The sequence below is a fragment of the Homo sapiens genome, chromosome 4 (genome assembly GCF_000001405.40).
Source record: "Homo sapiens chromosome 4, GRCh38.p14 Primary Assembly".
In the NCBI taxonomy this organism is placed as follows: Eukaryota; Metazoa; Chordata; class Mammalia; order Primates; family Hominidae; genus Homo; species Homo sapiens.
In genome coordinates, this window is record NC_000004.12 from 180,137,375 (window position 1) to 180,163,222 (window position 25,848).

The window sequence follows — 25,848 nt, forward strand, 5'->3', positions numbered from 1 at the left end:
TAATATACTGTTATGCTATTGCTAGCATCAGCCATTTTGAGATCCATAGCTTATACTCTATTTTCTCAGTTCTAAGATGTCAATATGTGTCAAAGATACCATTGATCTAATATCAGCTTTCCTGGGAGAAAGACAGAAATGGCCAGCAAGTTTCTTTGGAAATCCATTGTAGTATGTATACTAATTTAAAACATGTTAAAATGAAAAGAAATATTGGTCTTAGATTTGAAAAATTGTGGTTATGTGTGTATTTACAACCCATCATGTTCCAGATGAAACCCACCATATTGCAGCTGACAACTTTTCATCCAGAATGAATGCTGCTTACCTAAAGCTATTATAGTTTTACTGAGGTTGTTATAGGTAGATAGGTAATAATGAAGGTACTGTTTGATAGCAATTAATTGTATGATGGCTTTTCCATTTGTAGTCAAGATTGGAAACAACATGAAATATATTCTAAAACATTTCACTATATAGTTACATCCTGTTTCTAAGTATGAAGAATGTGGGATGTAAGAAGTTTGCATATTACTTTGAAGAAATAAAAATCATGAAAACAAAGAAATCATTATAAAATGAATTATTACTACCAGAGTTTTTTCTCCCCAGCGAAAGGTTGTCATGAGCAGAGTTTTAAGTAGAGAATGGAATCTGATTTTGTGAAACAGATTCCATTTAGAATTATATTATTGAAATTTGAATTCGCATAGAGTGAACCAGTAAGAGAAAAATGGCATTATTAAGAAAATAAATCAAACACAGATTTATTAGGATATGAAAATTTTTAGGAATAATAGAAAAGAAAGAGCTATGTTTTAAGGAAAAGGCCTAGATTGTCCATATTACTTTTGTCTTGTTTGTATTATTTATGATATATAAAATATTTAAATATTTGTTAGAAATTCCAAGGCTTACACATGATATGCACATAATAATTTCCAGAAACACAGAACCATGTTTACTTTAGGGGAACACTTAAATTGAAATATATACATCAATTCAGTACTTGTGTTGTGAAATATGTATGTATACACACACACACACACACACACACACATATCTTCTGTCAGTAGAAACAAAATTGCCACTCTTGCTTTGATCTTACCAACAGATGCAACGCTAGCAGAATGGAATGAATTCAAATAGTCTTAATTAAGCCTTTCTTGTAGGTTTAATTAGGTATGTACCAGCTTAAAATACATCTGGCCTATAAAAAAGACATAATGAGTATTTGATGTAACAATTTGATCTTGTTGTTGTGGTTTTCAAATTCTTTTGTGTGCGTCTGTACACATCTGTGAGTTTGTGTAAAGATAATAGCTATTACTTTCAATTGTTTCTTCTGGTTATACTTCATGGTGACACTTTGGGCCTCTCTGTGACTGTGTGTGTGTGTGGGGTGGGGGTGGGGTGCTGCAACCAGTAACTTTGGAAGTTTTGTCAACAAGTTCACAGAAATAAAAACTCAATGCCAACCTGTTTTGAGAATCCAGTTCTAAATACAATTTTTGAAATTTTTGTCATTATACAAATAGCAATCAAATATTATAGGAAGTAACAAAAATGACAGAAAAAAATTCCCACGTTCTCCATCTTAGTGACTTAACTTTCTTATTTCCATTTCCTTTTTATTCCTTGTTTTATTTATATGTATTTTTAATGTGTTTTTAATTATAATGTCAATACAATTTTATTCAACTTAATATTTAATAAATTAGAGTTTGTGCATGATTATTTTTATAGCAGTTACATTTTGTTTAGGTGATTTTAAATAATTTTCTACCACTACACTAATTAAAGGTATTTAGATTTATTTTTATGGTATGCCATAACACGGAAATGGAACTTTTTTAAAAATTAATTTTCCTCCTTAAAAACTATTGTAAAATTACATACCTCATAGTTTAACTGTTTACATTTATGTGTAACGAGGACATTTTGCATTCATGAATGAAAAATAAAATGATGAAATAGCAGTTATCAAAAGAAACAAACAAAAATACATCAGATATCCACATTTTAAAAAATAGAGCATTATATTATATAATATTCAGACATAGAGATGTGCCATTATAAGACACAGCAGAATGAACAAGGGTAGAATAAGAATTCTCTTGATAGAATTTTATATTAGTTTAATTGTACTATACTCAATAGATTCACATATATTCTGTATATGTGTTAATGCTTCATAGCTTCATAGAAATGGAAAATGTAAGTTGAGAAACATACTAAATGGCTACACTCTATGTACTATGTTCTGTATATATAGCATTTATTCTCACTTTTAATTCTCGTTGCCTGTTTTGAACTTGTTCATGATAGTAATGATGTAATATTTGTGTTACTTGAGTTTATATGGACAAAGCAAGGCTATTTATTTTTTGTGTTATAGGATTTGTGTCAATTATATTAAATGAAACGTCTCTGTCTTACAGTTAACAACACTTGCTATAAAAATCTAATATTGATATAATCGAATGTATTTATTTGAAACTCTTTAATGATTTATAATTTGCCTTTGTCCATGCAGCTGCTATAACAAAATACTATAGCCTGGGTAGATTCTAAACAGTAGAAATTTATTTCTCATAGTTCTGGAGGCTGAGAAGTCCAAGATCAAAGTACCAGTTGATTCAATTCCTGGTGAGGGCATGTTTCCTGATTCTTAAATGGCATCTTCTGGCTGTGTGTTCACATGATAGAAGGAGCAAGGCCTCTGGGGCCTCTTTTATAAGGGCACTAATCCAAGTCGTGAGGCCTGCACCTTCACAATGTAATCACCTCCCAAAGGCCCCACCTTCTAATCCTATCACACTAGTGATTAGGCTTCAACATAAGAATTTTTGTGGAGACATAAACTTTTATTCTTGCAATTTCTGGAATGCTTCATATGTATGTATAAATATATGTTTACACACAGATACATGGTTATCAAAAAGATCTAAATATACAGAGAAGAAATGCTTTGCTTTAAATGAGTGCTTCTCCAGACATAAGGTCTATGCCACACTTTGATAAACATAAGCAATTATGCATGCGCCACTGTATGGAATGTTGCTCTAAGGTGAAAAAGCCTGGTTGAAAATCATGATGTCTTTGCTTGTCCCTCCCAACAACTAAAGATTTTGTTGAGCTTCATTTTCTATATTTATATAATGAAATAATTTTTACACAATCCAAATATAAGATGCATATTTGTTATTTTTACCTACCTGAATATTCTAATACCCCCAGTATTTAGGTGACTGTATTGAGAAAGTTGGTACATTACATACTTAACCCTGGTATCATCATCAACAACAAGAATAAATGAATCTGATAAAAAGTAAGGCAATAAATTAGTTCAATGGAATTCAAAGACAAAATCAATAAAGATAAGATTAAAAATTAATGAGGTGACAAAGTCTAGGCACCCTGACTCACACCTGTGGTACCAGTGCTTTTGGAGGCTGAGTGGGAGAATCACTTGAGCCCAGGGGGTCAAGGCTGCAGTGAGCCGTGATTGTACCACCACACTCCAGCCTGGGTGACAGAGCAAGACAGTCTCAAAAGAAAAAAAAAAAGAGAGAGAGATAAAAACTTGATTAATCACCAGGTAACATGACTTTTTTAAGCAAGGGAGAAAACTTCATCTATGAGCAATAAATATGGAATACCCTTATGAATGGAGATTATATTTTCAAAATTACAGAAAAACATTAAACCCTTCTTTATTAATGGATCTTAAATCTGCATCATGTTGTTAAACTTTGTAATTTACTCAAAAAAAGAAGTAATAGACCTCTGGAGATCAGTAACTTCAAACTTACTTCAAAAAGTTATTCCTAAAAACGATATCAGAAATTCTAAGGAGCATGTGTGATTTCCAGAAGCTTCTCTCAACTCAGCACGTGATTATATTAGTCTCAGTATCCACATACCACTAAGAACTGCTGGTCTGGAAAAGTAAACATTTAGGAATAGTAAGGAAAAATCTTATGGGAATAGAGAGGCAAATCAGTAACAAAAAAAAGAAAAAGAAAAAAACCAGAGAGCGAAGAAACTGGCTCTAGTTAATATTCAATATATCTTTAAAATCAGTTGTCTAGTCACTGCGGGGAAGGGTATGGGAAATGAAGTACACAATGTGGAATCTCCAAATAGCAACTTAATTCCAGAGAACTTGAGTGTTAAGTGCATGCTATGTTTATATTATTCATAAACTGGAGTGCAAACATATGCAAAGAAAAAAATTTAGGTAAATATCCAGTAAAAAACAGTGCTTATAGCAAAATTCAGAAATGATGAGCTTAAAATTAAAACAATGGATTTGACTAATAAAAATTGAAACTTCTGAATGACAAAGTAGTACATTTCATAAATATATTTGAAAGACAATGACATTGCATGTGTGTAGACATGATATTTATTTAAATGCGTATACATAGATATATGTATATATCTTTGCATATGTGTGATAGCAGAAAAACGTGTTAATAGACATAAATATAGAAATAGTTTATGCAATGCAATGAAAAATATTCAACAGCTCATTAGAAAAATGAGTAGAGGAATAGGGTATTGCGTAATAAACTTAAAAAAAGTACTATCAGCTAAAATATTCAATCTCAAGAACATTAAATTAAAAAAATCATCATTAGTAATGATTTAAAAGATAAAGTTGTGTTTCCTGTCTAAAAAGGTTTAATTTTATAACACTTGATCCAAATCAAAAATATGCATATCATTTATCAAATCAATTCTAGTATTTGGATTTGAAATTAGTACAATATTGGTCCATTGTTCAAGGACACATACACCAGGATGTTCATTGCAGTGCTGTTTTTAATACTCCTAAATCAGATAAAAACTTACTTACTATTATTATTTGATGGAATATACATGCAAAACACAATCATAATACTATTCAAATGAATTATATTATTCAAAATTTATTAACTTGGAATTATGGCCTTGCTATATTTAGTAATATAAAAAGGCACATTATGGAATAGAGTGGTTGCATTTTTAAAGGAAGAATATTAGTATGATTATCTATGATATATAAGAGAATATGTCTGGAAAGTAATCAAAGTATAAATTAGGATAAGACAGGAGGGAATTCCTTTATTCCAACTATAAATCAAGGGATACATGTGAGGGAGAAAGATCATATTTCTATAGTGTGATGAAGTCCCGGAGATAGAAGAATATTTGACCAAAGACTAAAGGAAAGTGAGTGACAAAGACATGATGATGGCCGCAGGAAAGACTGTAGAAAGCAAGAAGCAAGTGTGAAAGCCCTGAGGCAGAAACATGGTTGCTGTGGTTCAAGTACACTAAGAAAACAGAGTTCATGAGAGGGGGAGGATAGAGCAGATAAAGTGAGGTCTACAAAGCTACAGGAAGAGGATTGGAAGCCATTAGATGGATTTTGCAGAAGCTTGTCTTGATCCAAGCTACTCTTAAGGGTCACTGTGTCTTAAGAATGGACTTAGAGACAAGAATGGAAGCAGCCTCTACTATCTTTAAAAAACTATTATAGTGATCCAGTCCCAAGAAAATGGTGGCTTATGCCTGGGTGATAGTTTTGGGAGTGATTAGAAGTGAAAAGGTTCTGGAAATATATCTATATCTATGTCTAAATTTCATATATATTTTATATACTATAAATAATATGATACAAAGACATATAGATAACTGCTTTCATTTCACACACATTTTTCTTTACTGTGCTTTTTTTCATTTACAATATATCCCAGAGATCGCTCCATAGTAATACATAGAGATATACCTCATTCCATTTTGTAGCCTCACAATTCTTCATTCTGTGGAGGTACTAGATTATTAATCAGTCCCCTGTTGATGGACATTTAGGTTCTTTCCACTCTGCCATTACAAATAGTGCTGCAATGAATAGCCTTGTGCTTGTATTTTTTCCTATTTTTGCTATTGTGTCTTTGGAATAGATTTCCTAGAAGTGGGATTGCTGAGTCAAAAGGTACATGCAAATGTAACTTTGATAGATATTGACAAATTTCCTTCCAGATTTTGATTTCTGTCTATAGTCTCAGATTTTCTTTTCCTTCCCAACTTGCTTTTACATTGTCTTCTTTTGAAAAACACTGGACATTCTTTTGTTGTTTGTTTGTTTGTTTGTTTGTTTGTTTGAGACAGGGTTTCCCTCTGTCGTTCAGGCTGGAGTGCAATGGTGCGATCTCAGCTCACTGCAACCTCCGCCTCCCGGGCTCAAGCAGTTCTCCCACCTCAGCCTCCCGAGTAGCCGGGACCACAGGCGCTCACTGCCATGCCCAGCTAATTTTTGTGTTTTTGTAGAGACGGGGTTTCACCATGTTGCCCAGGCTAGTCTTGAACTCCTGAGCTCAGGCGTTCCGCCCTCATGAGCCTCCCAAAGTGCTGGGATTACAGGCGTGAGCCACTGCACCCAGACTAAAAAAACACTGTACATTCTTGGTAAAAATATTTTGAATGTGGAATCCATATGGATTGCCGATTATTTTGATATAGAAGATAAAAGACAAGAGTAAACAAGATTTTGGCCTGAATGGCCATATATTTTAATGTAATTCAATTCTAATTCTTTTAAATTTACATTTAGATAACCACATGTGGTGAGTTTTAGCATATTGGGCAATGCAGATATAAGCATCAGGGTAAAAAGGGGACAGAGTAAGTTGAAGACTGAGCTCTTGGGCACTCTGATTTAAGGCCTTAGATCTGGAAATGAGGAAGAACCAGCCAAGGAGACTGACAAGCGAGGTGGGAAAGAGGTGGCAAGTAAATAAACCATTTTGGGATAGATTCAGAAGCCAATGATCAATGGGTCAGATGCTACCAATATTTGCATCCAATGAGGACTCAGAATGGACAACTGCTTGAACAGTGCAGAAAAGACTTCAACCTTTCCAAGTGTTTTATGACTGTTTTGTAGAGGTGCAAGGCCCAGTTTGACTTGGTTTAAGAAAAAACAGCCTTTTCTTTTGTGTGTGGGTCTCCCCATCTCTTTCTCAACGGGACTGCAAAATCTTTAAATGTATATCTTCCACCTTTTATATCTTTGTATAAAAAATTGCCTGACAAAGTTCTTTTTTTGTATTTTAAAGGGTTAGAAATATAAACGTTCTAATCATAAATGTCATTTTAATTATTATTACTTTCCCATCATTTCAGAAACATGAATTAGTCAAGGCAGATTGTTTACAACATAAAATGGTTACATTATAAAATGGAAGAAAATTAATATTTCTAGTAATTGGTTAGGAAGATTTGCAACTGTGATCCATACCTTTAAAAAAGAGCTAGTGAAATTCAGAATATAATATTGGTGTTATCTGTGCAATTTAAAATAATGATGAGCCAGTAATGTTTAGGTAACTTTTAAAAACAATTACTGTTCTAACTAAAGGAATTATTTTCTTTGAGGATAATTCACCTCCCACCAGTTCCACATTTTGACAACTTTATCATTTTGGACCAATGTGAATTTGACCTTTCCCCCCTCCATTCTTCATCTTGTAAGTGCTGTGCCCTTCCAGGCTGATACTTTGAAGACAAATTCTTTGTCCTTGTTTGGATTATTGAACAGTAAATGTCAAGGTTTTTTTTCCCCATTTACAAACGTTTTATCAATTGCTGACCTAAAAAAGATTAGATGTAATCTTAGATATTAAAACTACCATTCAGCATGGAAGATCTTTAAAAAAGAAAAATTCACATGAATTACAATTAACTTTAAAGACTTTTTAATGAGGAAATGACATACTTCTTGAGGTTATAATTTGTGCATTCTTTCAATTTCTTAGCCTATTAGCTTGATTTGACCCTGCAGATCAGGGAGATGTATATTTTGTATGTTTCTCCTGAAGTTCTTCAGCAAGTCTCTACATCAACTCACATACTGGGTTTTGTGAAAGCCAAGAGTTTCTTTAGTCATTGAAGGAACTAGCATGGAATTATAGAGCAAATGTACAAACAAACAAGAAACTATAGCAAAAAGCTAAAAAAAGAACCCTTCCTCATTAAAATTGTCATCGTCATTTAAAGTATATTCTATATAGATTTTTTAATGTGAACCACTGATGTGAAAGCAATGCATATAGGATGAAGTTGTAATTTAATTTATTTAAAATTCTGTCTACACCAGCCTCCTTACTTTCTTTTCATATCTGGTTTATTTTGAAAGAATAAATCTGTTAGCCTTCAAACACTTTCTGTCAAAAATATGAACTTATTTGATATGGGTTAGCAGGGTTGTGATTGGAGACTCAATATTTCATTTATTTTAATGTAAATGACACAGGATTGGATTGAATCTTATTACTTAAATATTGTATTAACTTAAATGACTCAATGTATAGACACGTTTACATCTTTTACATTTTTTTAAAATCTTCCTTAATGTTGGAAAATCAGGTATATGTGATTATTTATATTTGTGAAAACTTAAAAAACACAGGATATATCTGAACTATATTTAGGTTTCTGAAAGACACCTAAATATTGTCTTTTTATTTCCCATATATATTCTACAGTGACTTAACTCTGAAATTCAGCATTTTATCATGTTGACATTCATATCCTTATTATTTAATTTAATGTGACTATGATACTTCAGAAGATTCAGTTCTTACCATGTTCAGCATTTTTTCTTATCATTTAAAAAAATCACATGTTTACATTATATTGTTTTAAAATTGAAGTATTGCCAGTAATGTATTATATATTGTGACATTGATTACTTGGTTAATTTAAAAACTTTATTTTCTATCACAAATATTTTAGTCACAAAATGACATGATTTAATAGAAGGAACATGGGATCAACCTTGTCGTGAAACAGGTTTGACTCGTTGCTAGCTAGGTGCATGACCCTGAGAAAATTACTTAGCTTTTCCTGGCATCACTTTACTGATATGCAATGTGAAGATGATAATCACAGTACTTATTTCATATACAAATGAAAAAAAATCCACATAAAATGTCAACCTGACATAGAGTCATCATTCATAGATCTTATTTACTGTTATTTTGTTGTTATTCTTATCATGATCATGTAAATTATTTTCTGTTTTAGCCAAATATTTAGGCGCTTCTGTTGTGGATTTAAGTGTGTGAGAGGGAGGTAAACACTTTTCTTTTTTTTTTTTATTATACTTTAAGTTTTAGGGCACATGTGCACAACGTGCAGGTTTGTTACATATGTATATATGTGCCATGTTGGTGTGCTGCACCCATTAACTCATCATTTAACATTAGGTATATCTCCTAATGCTATCCCTCCCCCCAGTGGTAAACACTTTTCAAGGGAGCAGTGACTTCTGATAAGGAGTGAGTAGGATGCTAAGGGGAAATGGACAAGAGTCTCTGCGTGTTGAATCTCAAACTGGAAGTCAGAATGCTGTGTTCCTTTCTGACCATTATTTGTGTTTTTAATGGTGGCTTGGTTCCTAGACATGCTTACCAAAATATAATGAAGCCAACACATAGCTGTTTTAGTTGACTATTCTGAGATTTTAAATACCATTGAAAACATTACAAGAGCTATACTATGCCTAAATATCAACAGCTTGCAAATATATGCTGACCTCCTTCTTAGTTGTGGATTTCCTGGATTGTGGTATACAGATTTTGAGTTGTGAAAATCTATGAAAAAAATCTATTTCCCCTCAAATTACAGATTTCTTAATATAGTATGGATATTAACTTTAGAAAATTTAACACAGAAAAATATCACTGGGTTCCAGTAAGCTATAGCCATCTATATTACTTCATAAATAAAAAATACTAAAATTAAATAGCAAACCAGGCTAAATATTGGCCAATCAAGTCAGGTCACTTAAAAATAATTTCTTGAATGAATCAAATAGGGAGCAAAGATTGGCAATCTAGGCCTACTGGCAAACAACAATCATTCCCTTCCATTAACCCTCTTAACAATTACTTGTTCAAAAGCCTACGTAGAGTAACAGCTGTGGAAAATATCAAAGGATCAAATATAGAAGTCATTAGAAAGGATATGAGAGATTCAAAAGGGAGGCAAAAGAGAACTTACATGTATTATTGGACGTTGAAGAGAAAAAATAGTGAACAAACAAAAAGGAAAATTGAAGTTATAACTGAAGAAAAAAGAAATTGAAACTGTAATCAACTCTTTACTTTGAAATTTTTATGTACAATTATTATCAATAAATAATTATCTTTTAAAATTCTTGAACAGCAAGAACTGACAATTATATGATCAAGAATGAAATAAAAAGTCATGGGCCAGAGGCAAGGGTGATATTAAAAATCAGAATGGACATACTAACCAATCAGAAAGGAAGTGGGTTATGCGCCTTCAATGCTACTGCTGACTGACATCTAGTAATTGCACTGAGAGGTAGAGATGTTGTTTCTTCGAGGCGGGTTTTTATCAAGTTATTTATTCCTTCTGCATCCTCCTCTCACAGTGAGTGAGATTACAAAGGTTACATTGGGTAACTTCGGCTACTATTATTCTCTGTAACAATCTTCAGGGCTCACATGAAATGAATCCACTAAATTCTGGCTTTGGGAGGTGGGAGTAAGGGGGTTATAGCATTTTTACTCAAAAGTTTTGTTTTTGTTTTTTAATAAAGCAACCATATCTTAAAACTTTGTAGATTTTATTAGAAGATATTAAACAGATTCTTATTAAAACAGTGTAATACGGATCAGGAACCAGGAAGGCCAACTCCACTGGAAGTATTTTCCATTGATGTCATTGGTTTGAGTTCAAACGATAGCTAAACTAGAGGCAAAAAGAAGACACATGCCTTTCCCGTTGCAGATGGGAGGTCACCAAATTTAAAGATACCTTCAGATGTTTGTCTTCTCCAGGGACAGCTTACTGAAAAATTAATACTTTCTTTTAATAATTTTATTTAATGAATCTCTCACTATATTTAGATAAATGCTCTCTTTTTAAAACATAATATGGATATACATAGCTTACTGGATATAGAAGGATAAATGGACTTTTCTACGGCTGCATGTATACTAAAAATTAATTTATTCACTCATCCAAATATTCAGGGTTGGTTCATAAAAGTCACTTAACTGGTGGAAATAAAAAAAATATATATTTCCTATCATTCTTATTATCCTAAATATACTTAAAAGAATAAATGTGATTAAGATGACTCTGAGTGTGTGGAGATTCATTTCCCACCTTATTTGGGGAGTAAAAGGGGTGATATTTCACCTGCTTAATGCATATTTTAATACTATTTTTGTTGGCCTATGGTTCTTTGCTACATATATACATTTAATTTTTTAAATTCTTAATCATTTATTCTCTCAGTATTTAGAAACATCGTATTCTGTGAAATGCCAAGCATTTTCTTGTTGTTTTACAGATTACATAGAACTGGACATATTTATTTGATAGTAAGATGCATACAATTTTTATTTTTCAGACTTGAATGAAGTGATCATGTAAACTAGAGAAAGGAGATTAAAAATAACCTCTGGATATTCCTCTCATGTGATCTTTATTCTGGATGAAGCATTAGGACAGCTAATAGCCGTGTGTCACTGTAAGTATTGTGTAATGAACTTAGAATGTTTATTTTTTTGTTGCTGCATAACCTCGTATGTTGTACACTTTCACAGAATTTAAGAATAGTAGATGTAGTGTAGTAGCAGTAATGGGCAGAACAATAAAAACTAAAATACTAAGTGGCAGGGATAGCAACACAGAAGGGGAAAATTATTCTGGTTATAGAATCCCTTAAATTGAGTAAATATTTGATATAAACAAAAGTGAAGGACAAAATGATAATTATTTATGATATCAAAGTGATCTTTGCTAGAATATACTTGAGAGTGTGACAGCTTTCTGATGAGGAAGTAAACTAATTGTAAAGCTATGCTGAGAAGAATCATAATCTTACTATGAATAAGAAATGCGTTACGAGTTACAGGATTTGAAAAATAACAGAATGAGAAGCTTTTACAAGCCAGGCTATTTTAATTTTGGTGACGGTTTAGAATCTATAGAAGTACCAAAAATTATAGCACCAACTTCAATTAATAGAATGTTCAATCTGTATCTAATGAAGTTATCAAGTACTCTTTAATCATGCATCTATAATTTTATCATACAAAACCATTGCATTCATAAAGAGAAAAACAATCTTATAAACTGGCCTGAGGACTTCATCTGATCATATAAACGAAGAAATAGGCTTCCAATTTAACATTCTGCAGCACTCTAATGCAATTCAGGGGTAAGTGCTATTACCCTTGGTGAAGAGGTTGAATTTGATAGCCATTTCACTGTTAGACTAACGATGGCCTGTTATATCTCTTAGGTTACAATGTCTTTGATCCTGTGAATGGCAAGGAAACATACAACCTCAGGGGGAAATTCAGACAGAGAAGGTATTTAATAGAAAAGCCTCCAGACAACTGGAGTTTCTTTAGATTTTGAAATCATATGTAGACCTCTTAGCTGAGACTCAACCAGAATCCACCAGTAAGGCATTCAGCTTGGTTATACCTGTGCTGTACAGATGGCTACATATGTTGTCTGTCACCACAATACACGTTCAAATATGAATATATGTACAAAGATTCAAATGTCAAATATGTCTTATATTTTGACTTATGAACTTATTTATTATCTTACTAACTTGGACTTGTTAACCAGAGAAATTACTTACATAATGAAAGCTCTTTTAAAAATATCCTATTACCTTTTCCTCCCACAACTGAACACATAATTTGGAAAAAAGTCTCTGTGAAGGAAACAATTAAAATTTTGTTTTGCATTTGTAAAACTAGAGTTATTTTATTTCCTAGAATGTAACAATAACTTACCCTTTCCACTTCAGATTTTGAAAATTTTATTTGTAGTAACATTTTACCTACATCCAAAACAGGTGGTGGATCTAATTTATATTTTGAATGGACAAATAACGTTTTCTGAAAAAGTTGTAAGATGTGCTTGCTTTAGCCGAGTCATAATTTTTACTCTTTCATAGTCCCACAAAAACACGTATTCGCGATATAGCTGAATAAGGAAATTGACTTAACGCCAAGTTAGCAATCAAAACAAAAATCAAACCTACTAAGTGTGTTACTTGCCCTACTTAAAAAGAAATTGAGAGATGATAATATTTAATATGTCTTTTTAAATATAATTTATCTAGGTTAGATTCATAGAGAAATTTCCGTGAAGGTAAATATTCCTCTACCATAGAGATGATTTTAAATGAAGTGAAATTATTTTTAATTAATATCATTGGTAACTTGCAACAGAAGGGAATTTTCGTGTTACTTAAACCATAATTTTCTTCTAACATGGCTTAGGCCATTTATCAGAACCATGTTGTTAAATGCAGATTTGCAGAAATACTTTTCAATGAAATATAAGACTACGTGATATTTGAAACCATCCAGTTTATTTAACTTGCTTAAAACAGTGTTCACTTTATACAAGTTCCCTTTGATAAAATCACTTAAGCGAACATTTTTTATATCTATGTACACATGTAAATGTGTGTCTTTTTAAAAAATAACCATGATTAGAATGATGAGCATATAGAACTTTATTTATACCAAAAAATAACGTGGTGTAAGAAATGCTTTTATGAAGCAAAATGTATCAAGCCCTCTAGTGGTGTTAATGTATAAGATATTTCATTGTGGTGTTTGCTCAATCAAAGCAGGCTTTTTTTTTTTCTTTCTCCATTTGAGTGCAAGTATTTAACATGTTTTTGACGTTAGCTTTTTGTAAATTCCAATTTGCTCTGCTTGGCAGATAATTTGTAGAATACTCTAGGTGGTTTTTCTAAAGAAAAAAATCTTAACCTTAGGATTAACCATTTTAAATAACTAAACTTAGTGAATAAATGAATGGCCTGTTAGGAGATAAATCATAATTTTTAGATCAGTAACTGTTATTTTTGGGTCTAATGTTAAAAGACATTGTAGTGTTCCATATGCATGATGATAACAATACTTTTTAAAAAGAAAATTTACATAATTTACAAACTTAGAAAAAAAATCTTCATTTAAATAAACAACACAATTAAGGATAAAAAGTAGCTAAGACTTCCTTTGTAATTCTTACTGAGATCTTTCATGCTATCTAAAGTCTAAAGGAGGTTAATGGTCTTATTCATAACTAAGGATATTTACACTGCACTTTTTTTTAATTTGGCTCTTTTTATAGAAGGCACACAATTAGAGAGGAGACTTAGTTGGCAGATCTGCAAAACGTGTTTCAGTTATTAGGGCATGAGTTTTAGCTTCATGCCAGCGGTATTTTTCTTTCTTTTTTTTTTAAAAACAATTAAAGTATGAGCATTGGATGTATCTAGCTAGGGGAAACTGACAAATATCATGCAGTAGAAATGGAAAAGTAACAATGAAAAGTTTAAGACACAAAGATGAGTCTCAGAGTCTATCTGTTCTCAAAGATGAATTTCTTGATTTCCTGTCCTTTATTTCAACATTATTTTAGACTCTGAAATTAGGCTCATAGAGTAACCACTGAATACGCTGTGGTAGAAAGTGCTATACTAGGTTTTGGAAGACCCAAATCACTTCTCAGCTTCATCCAGTTTTCTTTGTTGTAAAATCAGAATAATCATGCACTACCTAACCTCACGTGCTCACGAGCACTTCTGACACTGATCACCATTCTTTTGGAAAAGTGTACATTATCACTGCTTCTCATCGAGGAATACATGCAGTTGGAGAACATGTGGTCTTCTCCCTAATATGTGCACCCTCATTCTTGGAAGTCTTCAATTAAAACTGATTTAAGTCAGGCGCAGTGGCTCACGCCTGTAATCCCAGCACTTTGAGAGGCAGAGGTGGGCGGATCATTTGAGGTCAGGAGTTCGAGACCAGCCTGGCCAACATGGCAAAACCCTCACTCTACTAAAAAATACAAAAATTAGCTGGGGGTGATGGTGCACGCCTGTAATCCCAACTACTCGGAAGGCTGAGGCAAAAGAATTGCTCGAACCCAGGAGGCAGAGGTTGCAGTGAGCCGAGATCATGCCACCGCACTCCAGCCTGGGCGACAGAACAAGACTTCGTGTCAAAAAGAAAATGACAAAAACAAAAATAGTAAGTTAAATAGTCTATATTAGGTAGAGTACTGGGTACAAGTGGTCCATACTAAGATAAGAGCCTAAAATAAAATGCTAAATCTTAAAAGAGACTGGGTTTATGCACAAAACGTTTTGTGCCTTGGTCTAACATTAACGTGATGTCTGTGTAAAATGACAAAAAGAACCAATGTTGAATTATGCTATATTTTCCATCACCCCAGATTGCTAAATGTGTTCCTTCCAAGAAATCTAAATGAATTATTATATACATTTGCTGTCATGTATACATAACAGTTGTGTCGTTGTTAGAGGTTTCAGTAATTAAAATGGGTAACAGAAGCTTAAGTTACTTTCCTTATCAAAACTATGTTCCTTGGAACCACATTATTATAATGGTTTTTGTGCTCTTGTACATTGGATGTCTTAAGCTGAGTACAGTTTAGGAGATCCTTTCTAATTATAAGAAGGTACTGCTTTCCTCAACACTGTGATCTAACCTGTGCTAAATCTGTACTATACACTATGTAAATGGCTAACAAGTCAATTGCAAACAAACTGAATGTACAAATCTTAGTGTTGGTACTGAAACCTTTTCAGAATAGTCATCACGATTTAAAAGTTTGTTTAAAAATTTGCAAGCATCAAGTGTCAATCAAAACTGAAGATGAAACACTAACGAATGTTGAATTCTCATGCTTTTAGGTGCACTTCCTTTTTAGAATTTTCAGTTATCTGCTATTTTTACCGTAACTATTTTCTTTACATTTGTTTCACTTAAATTTCCTGCACGCTAACTTTGTTTGTATGATTGAAATAAAACTGCAGTGTATATATATATATATATATATATATATATATATATATATATATATATAGTGTGTATATATATATAGTGTATACACACACACACACACACACACAAAAGTACACATATTGGCCAATAGGATTTAGTATTTTGTTTTAAATCAGTTATATATATACTAAATCCTATTGGCCAATATGTGTACTTTTCACCATCTAAATCTACCTAATTTCAAATATAAGATATACACTTAAAAATCTTTAGGCTTCACTCTGAAACAAGTTCATGTAGCAACTTGAAGACATTGATACTTGACTTGTATATGACCCAAATACACAGATTTTTCACATCTGCTCTCAGATTGTCCTAATTTAATTCACCATGATACATGATTACGTGACATCATAGACAGTAACTCCAAAAAGGGAACGAAGAAACAGAATACTCTGGAACTTGGTATGTTTTTAGACTCAACCCTACATAACATATAACACTATGAAAGTTACATTTTTGGGCTATGAGTCAAATGGCCTTGTCTCGCACCCAGCTGTGCCCTCGGGTTACGTAGTCTTCCAGGTTTACAACATTATATTCACTTCTAAATGAATAAATTGGATTAGAGGATTTTTAAGATATCTTCTAGAAATATGTTGGTTCTAGATCATTGAGCCACTCAAAAGGTTATACCATCCTGTAATGTGAGGGCAGCAAAATATTGTTTTCCAGAATATTTTTCCTTTGCAATCTCCTTCCATCTTTCATGTCTTCCTTGGTTGTTAGGAACTTATTAGAGCTGGAGAGAGCTGAGCTGCCAGCTGTCTGAGTATTCAGTTAACACAATAACCCCAAATAAAGTAATAGTCAATTAATCACTCACTGCAATGATGTAAGCAGGAAGCTAAACTGGAGAAAGAGACCTCATGGAGGAGTTTGGACCCTGGTGCTGGTTGAGCATCACTTGAATCAACACAGATGTGATGGTCAACTTATGCCTTGGGAGTCCTGAAAAAAAAAATCCTGTTTTTTTATGGACCAGCAGCTAGTGGTAGGGGGTAAGATAGGACTAGGAGTGGAAAAGTACTGAGCACTGAGTCAGCATGGAGAAAATTGTCATCATGTTTCCCTGCTCCCCTAATAAGGAGGTCTTAGCAGAGGAAGGCCTCTGCTGAAAATTCCAGATAAAGAAGATCTGCATGAAGGTATATGATCTAGGAGTATAGATATCCATAAGAGTATGGCTGGCCAGGGGACTCAAGTCTTTGATTGTAACTCCCTGCAGAGACTGCAGTGCACTGGCTGTGCACCCAGTCTATTGTGGGGAGGGCAGCTCTTTCCTCTGAAGCTTACCAGGTGGTCTGTAATTGCCTGTGATGATGTCTGAAAAATCATACATAGGGTTTTGGTCTCAAGCCAGATTCCCCATTGATTATCATCTTACATGCCTACTTCTTCTTGAGTTTAAATTAGGGAGTAAAATCCAATAAAATGGGTCATTTATTTAGAACGTGGGGTCACATAGCCTTCTCAGGCAATTTAAATTTAGAGAGATTCTTGCCCTGTGCCTTGTTTGCAGTGTTATTGATACTAAAATGAACCCCACCCTCAAGCAACTTAGTGTCTATTGGAAGTCCAGGGGGAAAATATTCAAAACAATAACATTAATATTGTAAAGTGGTTTATATAATGCGGGCTTGCTCAAAACAGTTTACTTTCTACTCACAACTACTCTATTCCTTGTGCACTATGGTGGTCTTCCATTTTGTGGATGTGAGAACAGAAGTTAAGTAAGGTTAAGAGGAGTTAAGTAACCTGTCTGCTGGTAAATGGTAAAGCTGCTTAGAGAGGCAATGCATTTAACCACTGTGTTTTACTTCTATTTTAAAAAACCTGAAGGCTATAGATATGCATAGAATGTCAGGAGAGAACTGAAAAGAAGTCCTGGATTCATGCAGTAAGTTGCAGAGGGAGTGGTACCTACATGGGGTAGACCTGGGGTGTGTTGTGCAGGTGAAGGGCTGGAATTGAAAGGCACTTAAGGCGCAAGAGACGTGAGTAGGGGCATGAGTGCTGTGGACTAAATCAGGTTGGTGTTTCAGAAAATAAATATCAAGTGAGCAATAAAAAAGAGGCTGAGGATAGAGGGAAGGATTAGATAGAGACAAAGAGATGAATATATTGAGGCAACAATCAGAAGAACTTTACACATTATCTTACATAGTGTGTTAGTGAAATAGAACTAGGGAGAGAATAAACAAGAAAATTTCCTATATCATTTTCTATTTTGATTTAATGAATGATGCCTCAAATGGAGCTAAATAAGTATAGGAAGAGGAGCAGGTTCATGAAAAAGATATGTTTTGCTTCAGGGCACTTGAGTCTATTGAACTACCAAGTAAAGGTAATTTGCAAACAGTTATATATGTGCATCAATAATTGCAAGAGAAATGAAAGCATAGGGAGCATAGATTAATGAGAAGGGTGCCCCAAAGCGTGTTGTCCAAGAAAAGACTGGAGCAGAACAAGAGCCAGTGAGGTACAATTTCAGAGTATTAACAAGAAAGAACCGATGATGATGATGAGCCCATTGCAAAAGATAGATTAGTTAAGATCACAACTGAACTCATACTTGAAATGGATCCCTAATAAAGTCACAGGTTTATTTAGCAAGGGCAGGATTTGTAGTGTGGTGGAGCTGAAGCCAGATGGTGCTGGATTGAAGAGTGATAGAGCAGAAACTAGATAAGGAAAGGCATGAAATTTGACAGTAGCTAGAAGAGACAACAGAACTAAGGAAGGCTTTCTTTTTCTTTGTTGACTGTTTTTTTTAGCTGTATTTAAAAAATGGTTTAATTACTTAATGTATTTTTGATTGACACATGATGTACATATTTATTGGGTACAGTGAGATATTTCAATACATATGGACATTACATAATGATCAAGTCAGGGCATTTAGTATTCTATCATCTCAAAAATTCATTGTTGCTTTGTGGTGAGAGCATTCAAAATCCTCTCTTCTAGCCCTTTTGAAGTATGCCATAGAATATCGTTAGCTATAACATGCTTGTGTGTAATAGCATCCTAGAAATTATTCCTCCTAAATTACTGTGACTGTGTACACATTAACCAGTCTCTCCTTATACCTCCCTTCCTTCCCTTCCCCAGTCTCTAATTACCATTTTTCTGCTCTCCACATCTATGAGATCAGCTTTTTTGGATTCCGCATATAAGCAGTGGCGTGTGCTATTTGTCTTTCTGTGCCTGGCTCATTTCACTTAACGTAATATCCTCCAGGTTCATCTATGTGTCTGCTAATGACATGCTTTAATTCGATTTTTGGTGACTAAATAGTATTCTATTGTAAAAATTTACCACATTTTCTTTATTCATTCATCTGTTGATGGACACTTGGGTTGATTTCATATCTTAGTTCCTGTGAACAGTGCTGCCATAAACATGGGGCTGTAGATCGATATCTCTTCTAAATACTGATTTCATTTCTTTTGGGTATATACCCAGTTGTGTGACTGCTGGATCATATGGTAGTTCTATTTTTAATTTTTTGAGAAACCTCTGTAATTTTTTTGTCTGTGCTAATTTGCATTCTCACCAACTGTGTATGTAAGTTCCCCTTTCTCCACATCCTTGCCAGCATTTGTTACCTTTTGTCTTTTTGAGAGTAGCCATTCTACTGTGGTGAGGTGATGCTTTCTTGTAGTTTTGATTTTCATCTCCATAATGATTAGTGATGTTTAGCATTTCTTTATTTACCTGTAGATCATTGTATGTCTTCTTTTGAGAGATGTCTAGTCACAGCTTTTGACCATTTAAAATATTTTCGATCATTTTTAATTGGATTATTTTCTATTGAGTTGTTAAGGTTTCTTATATAGTCCAGACATTAACCTCTTGTCAGATCTATAGTTTGCACATATTTTCTCCCATTCTATAGATTTTCTCTTCATGTTGTTGATTGTTTCTTTTGTTGGGCAGAAGCTTTTTAGATTGAAGAAATACCATTTGTCTGTTTTTGATTTTGTTCCTGGACTTTTGAGTACTTGTTTGAAAAATCTTTCCCAGACCAATGCCATAGCGCATTTCCTTTATGTTTTCTTCCAGTAATTTTATAGTTTCAGGTTTTACATTGAAGTCTTTAATTCATTTTGAGTCGATTTTTTATAATGTTATTGATAGGAGTCTAGAATCATTCCTCTGCATGTGAATATCCAGTTTGTCCAACATCATCCAAGTTTGCAAGGAGAAAATAAAATAGTCTCTGTCCTCAGATGACATGCTCATACATATGACTCCACCAAAATAAGTTAAAATTAATAAATGAATTCAGTAAAGTGGCAAGATAAAAAATCAACATACAAAAATTAGTAGTGTTTTTATATGCCAATAGTGAAACATCTAAAAAAGAAATCAAGAAAATAATCTCACTTATAAAAACTACAAAAAATAAAATGCCTAAGAATAAATTTAACCAAGAAGATGAAAGAGCTCTGCAATGAAACTATAAAACACTGATGAAAGAAATTGAAGAAGACAAAAATAAATGGAAAGTCATCCCATTGTCATAGATTGGAAAAATTAATGTTGTTACAATGCCCATACTACCCAAAGTTATGTACACATTCAATGCAATCCATATCAAAATACCAATGACATACTTTACTAAAATAGAAAAAATAATTCTAAAATTCGTATGGAACCATAAGGGACTCTGAATAGACAAAGCAATCTTAGGCAAAAAAAAAAAAAAGAAAAAAAAAAAACTGAAGGTGTCACCACATCAAAATATACTACAAAGTTATAGCAACCAAAGCAGCATGTTACTGGCATAAAAGTAGACACAAGCACCAATGGAACAGATAGAGAATCCAGAAATAAACGTAAGTACTTACAGCCAAGTGATTTTTGACAAAAACTCCAAGAACACACATTGGGGAAAGGACACTCCAACAAACGAAGCTGGGATTTTTTTTGTTTTTGTTTTTAATGGGAGAGGTATGAAGCTTAAAAAGTGCCAGGAACGAGAGTGAGGTTGAAGATATATGGAAGAGAGAATAAAACTGGAGGCACAATTCTCACAGCAATCAAAAGATGAGATTCAGGCAGACATTGGCTTCAGAGCCAGCTGCACCACTTAATGGCTGTGTGACTTGCAATGTCACTTAATTTCTCAGAACTTCAGTTTCTCCATCTCTAAAATGTAACAATAGTATCAATCTTAGAGGGTTATTATGAGTATTAGGTATTATTATAAAATGTACGTAAAAATAAATTACAGTGAGAACTCATTATAATATTTGCTATTATTTTTATTTGGTGTAAATCAGTTGGCTTCATCAATAAAGAGGCCTAGAAATAAACACATAATTGAAGACTGGAATAAAGAGGAAATGACTGATATTTCTCTAGGCAATTTTGTAAATATGATACTCAGGGAGATGATGCCTTATCGTCTCAATGACTTTAGCAGTTATCCATTTTCTTAAAATAAAACTTAGTTAAAAGTGGAAAATCAAGACCCTTTCTGGCCTAAAATTATAAACAAACAGCTGGTCAGTTCCAAGGTGTTTGGCAGTAAGACTTTTTTTTTATCTTAAAACTGTAAACATCTCGTTGGCACAAAGATGTTTGGAATATTTTTAGTTATCTATTCTATGGCACATCTTATATTCTTCAGGTGAAGTGGAAATCTTATTTTACCTAAATATAAACCTTGAGTGGATTCTTTGCTTAATATAAGATGTGACAACCTAATATAGACCTTTAAATAACAATAGAAAACCCTCCTAACACTGATCTAACTTACAAAGAGAAATAAAACTATCACATCTGCTTCCTAAGCAGCCTTAAACGAAAAAGTATGATTTTAATAAATATGTATATTAAAACAGAAAGTATAAAGCACACTAGATATGATAGTTGATAACGTGGCATGCATATTATGAATCTTGCTATTTGAAATGTGTATGTATAGAAATATTTTTGTTAAATACACAACTAGTCACTGAAGGAAGTTTTTTGTTTGATGCTAAGTTGATTTAAATAGTTTTCAGTGTTCTTTTATTTAACCTGAAGAATTGGAATCAAATTACTTTATATTTCTCAATTTTGGTTATTATCCTTTCTCTCTGTGGGTTAGTCACAAATTTAGATATAACCAAAAGTAATTTATGATGAGCCTGAAAGGTATTAATAAAGCTAGGAAATGAAAAAGTAGTGTTCAGTAATAGGGCTAATTTTCCTGTGTATATTTTATAAATGGACATTTTCTTACAGACTGGGAGTGTATATAACTTACATGTTTTATTAAGAGTTCTATAAACAATTATATCACAAGTTTCTAAATGAAAACAGTCCTGTGCTTTCTTTTATTTAACCTGAACCACTCTTTTTTTTTTTTTTTTTTTTTGATGATTCCAGGCTAATTTAGCCTGATTTACTGTTCTTTTAAAAATATAAAGTTACAAATAATCTCAGTTGTGTTGAATGGAAGTTAAACTTAAGAGAGGGTAATAGCAAATCTAAGGATGCAAGTTCCTAAATTTTGTTCTATTTCGGTATGCCTTACTCACGCTGATTCATGAGCTCTTCTGTGAATCAACATCAGTCCTTATCCTTAATTGTATATAGTGTTCATTCTAATGTGATTTTCCACTACATTCAAAAGCTTCCTACTTTTAAAAGCTGGCAGCACGTGAACAATTTATACCTCTTTGGAACTCTTACCTCTTTGGAGGAACAACCAGCTTCTTTTGGGAAATGACTTTTAATTAATAAATAGAACACTTTTCATCACCTTCAATGGCATAGCTTTGAAGAGAATAGAAAACAAAGCTGGTGACACCTTCTTGGGTCTGGCATGCCAAGAGGGGCCTAGAATTAAACAAGTAGTGACAGTCACAGCAACTGCTAGCTCTTTTTAAGCATCTGTCTTTATTTCAGATTGACTCCTATGTTTTTCTCTTTCTTGACTACTTCTTTGTTGCGGGATAGAGTTCTCTTTGGTGTCAATGTACTTAATGTTTACTTTCAAAACAGAGAAAAGTGAATACGGGGTGATGACCTTCACTAAAGGCAAAGAAGCCTTATCAAACTTAGAGTGATATTGATAGTGATTGTCCAACACGCAGCCTTTCATGGGGAAAACAGTGATCGATTTTAATTGGTTACTTTTTAGTGTCAGCACTGTTTTACTATGCAGCTTTAAATACGCATATAAACCGCAGTGGTACTAAAACCTAAGAAGTCACATTCTGATCATTTCTTTTGTCAAAGAAGCATGATCTTAACTCATGAGTCACTGTTAAATGTAAGTGTAATGTGAAGGAAAAATGAAAATACATTATGAGTAGTTTTTTGCCAATTTGTATAATTTTTCAGTTAAGCAGTCATAAATCAAGGAATATTGTATTTTTTGAGGCTCATTAAAGAGACATTATACATCAGAATAGTGAAGTCGTCAGCATAATGAAATGATGAATGCCTGTAACTATCTGTATGTAAATGATGTGAGACAGATTCAGGGTGTTACAAAGGAGAATAACAATCTCTCTGACAGTTCCCTGTAGGTGCAGTTGCTGGATGCTGGTGACAGATGTTAAATGCAAACCTCTTCAATGGCAAGCACTTATTAGCACTCAGTGGAAACTCGCAATATAAAATAAGACAAATAGCAGATTATATCATTTTAAATAAATTTGTTCAGTAAGGTGTGTTATTGCATTTTAAGATTCTTCTTTATTAACAAAGGCAGTATTCTAAATTAAAGAAAACAGAATAGAAAAGAAAATGGCTATTTGAAAACCAGTATATAGAATATGAGTGTGTGTGTGTGTGTGTGTATGTGTTTGTGTGTGTATAGTTATGCTTGACCATTTCTTTAACTAAAATAAGAAATTTTCCATATAGTAGGTAGTGTGTCGAACTTAACTAATTTAGGTTTATTTTAAAACTCACCCATTATCTTATCAAAGAAACACATCTATCTCCCTTATGTATCTCACAGATGGATTCCTTTCCATACACACTTAAATGGCAAGCATCTTAATATGCATACCACTTTGTCAACCTTCATATCTGGTGTGGTTTATTATTTCCATTTTAATCTTCATACTTATTAAAATCATGTTTCTTTTGTTCGACACTGCTCAATTTGTTGATTAACCAGGGCCTTAAATCCTACATTTCAGATGCTTTATTCCATTCACCAAAGAGGAGAAGGCAACAGATCTAGTAATTTTCTAGAGCTTCTCATTTATCTATGAATTTCTCAGCACCTGGTACAAGTGCCAAATACATAAATGATTATTAAATGAAGAAGAAATGGAGGGAGAGAGAGAGAAGATGGTTTTTAGTCCAACATGGGTCACTGATGGGTCTGTGGCATTGGCTAAGTCACTTAAGTTCTGTCTACATGATATATTATCTGTTATCTATTATCTATTATTATTAATTTTAAAAACAATGTTGACTTAAGCACTTTGGGAACAGAGAAAGCACTTTGGATTATATAACCAAATGTATGTGGATAAAGTCATATTAATATAATTATTCATATGCTTTGTGCCTTGAGGACTGTAGTTAATTATTTTTAATAACATTTTCCCATAACTGGGCCATAGTATTTTGGCATTTTATAATGTAAACGTGAATTGCTAGCAAGAGAAATGATAAAATTTCTCTCCATATTTATGTCAATATGATGGTTTTTTTTCTCTATCTTGAGGTATATATTGGGGGACGGGGTTAGGATAGTATTTGACTAAAGAGTTTTTCTTAAATAATTAATATCTATTTTACTTTTTTGCAATAGGAATGCAGCAAATTATTGGCATGTGAAAGTTTTATGAACAAATAAATGTATATGTTTTGTTATAATATGAAAAGTCTATGAGAACATAATGGTCCAAGTTTTCAATAGTCTGAATATAAATATTAATGACTTAAATTGTTAGTGGCTCTTTGGATATGTACTGTGATAATAAAGTGATTCACCAATTCGTTGAATATATTTTAAAATCTATATATTAAAAAATAGATTTGAAAGTACCAAATTGCAACTTAAAAATTCCTAATAATGGATAGCTATTATGTAACTAAACTGAAATTAAAATATTTTAGAGGTAATACACCATATTTTATTTTTCCCCTTCACATTCATCACCCACATCTCTTCTGATCATTTTGCAGTTTTACTCACTTACAAATAAAAGAACACTTATGATTTTATGTTCCAATTCTTTAACTTACTACACATGAACACACACAACACACAACCTGAGAGCATCTATTACACATAACAATTTTATAATATGATTCACTTTTTTCTATGACTGAATACTATGTGAGAACCATATTTTTGTTATCTTTAATATAAAATGCCACCACATGCTATTATAATTACATGTGTGTATTTTTAACAACAAGCATCTATATAATTTTTATGTTTAAAAAAGTACTTCTAAATCTATTATTGCATTTAATCAGTGACAAGATTTGAATCTTTGTCTTTTAATTCTAAGTTCATTGGTCTGTCTGACATATCATATTGCTTCTTGACAAAACTCTTGAATTGAAATCCAACAAAATACACCCTGCCAGTTGTAATGCACTTTGCCAAACCAAATAAGAAAACTTATTTAATGGAATGTTTTGTCACTTATGTCACATTTACTTACTTTATGCTCTAAAGGTAGTTAAGTGATGAATAAACATTCAAGGGGATTGATTGGGTGAGAATAACATGTCCACCATTCTACAGCACAGAGTAATTACTCCAAGAAGCATTTCTCAAAACCAAAGACATCCTACATAATTCTTCTTCCTTAAATTATGTATTATTTGTAAATGTCACCGAGCTATCATTTACTTCCAATTGAAATAAATGACTCCTGCATTTTTAATATTATAATTAAACTTATAAGTATTCAGCTTTATTTCA

The 25,848-nt window shown here is 32.9% G+C and overlaps 1 long non-coding RNA gene across 2 annotated transcripts in view; it reads left to right on the top strand.

Annotated features, from left to right (window-relative positions):
* The window catches only part of LOC124900623 (uncharacterized), a 49,265-nt gene extending 37,769 nt beyond the window's left edge, over positions 1–11,496 (top strand). Inside the window, exons 1-2 of one of the 2 annotated variants that reach the window (XR_007058393.1) lie at positions 10,141–10,383; positions 11,441–11,496. This is a non-coding gene — a long non-coding RNA (uncharacterized LOC124900623). Of the gene's footprint in view, positions 1–10,140; positions 10,384–11,440 lie in introns of those variants that run through there. The other variant, XR_007058392.1, reaches the window with a different exon arrangement.
* Positions 11,497–25,848: the final 14,352 nt, after the last annotated feature.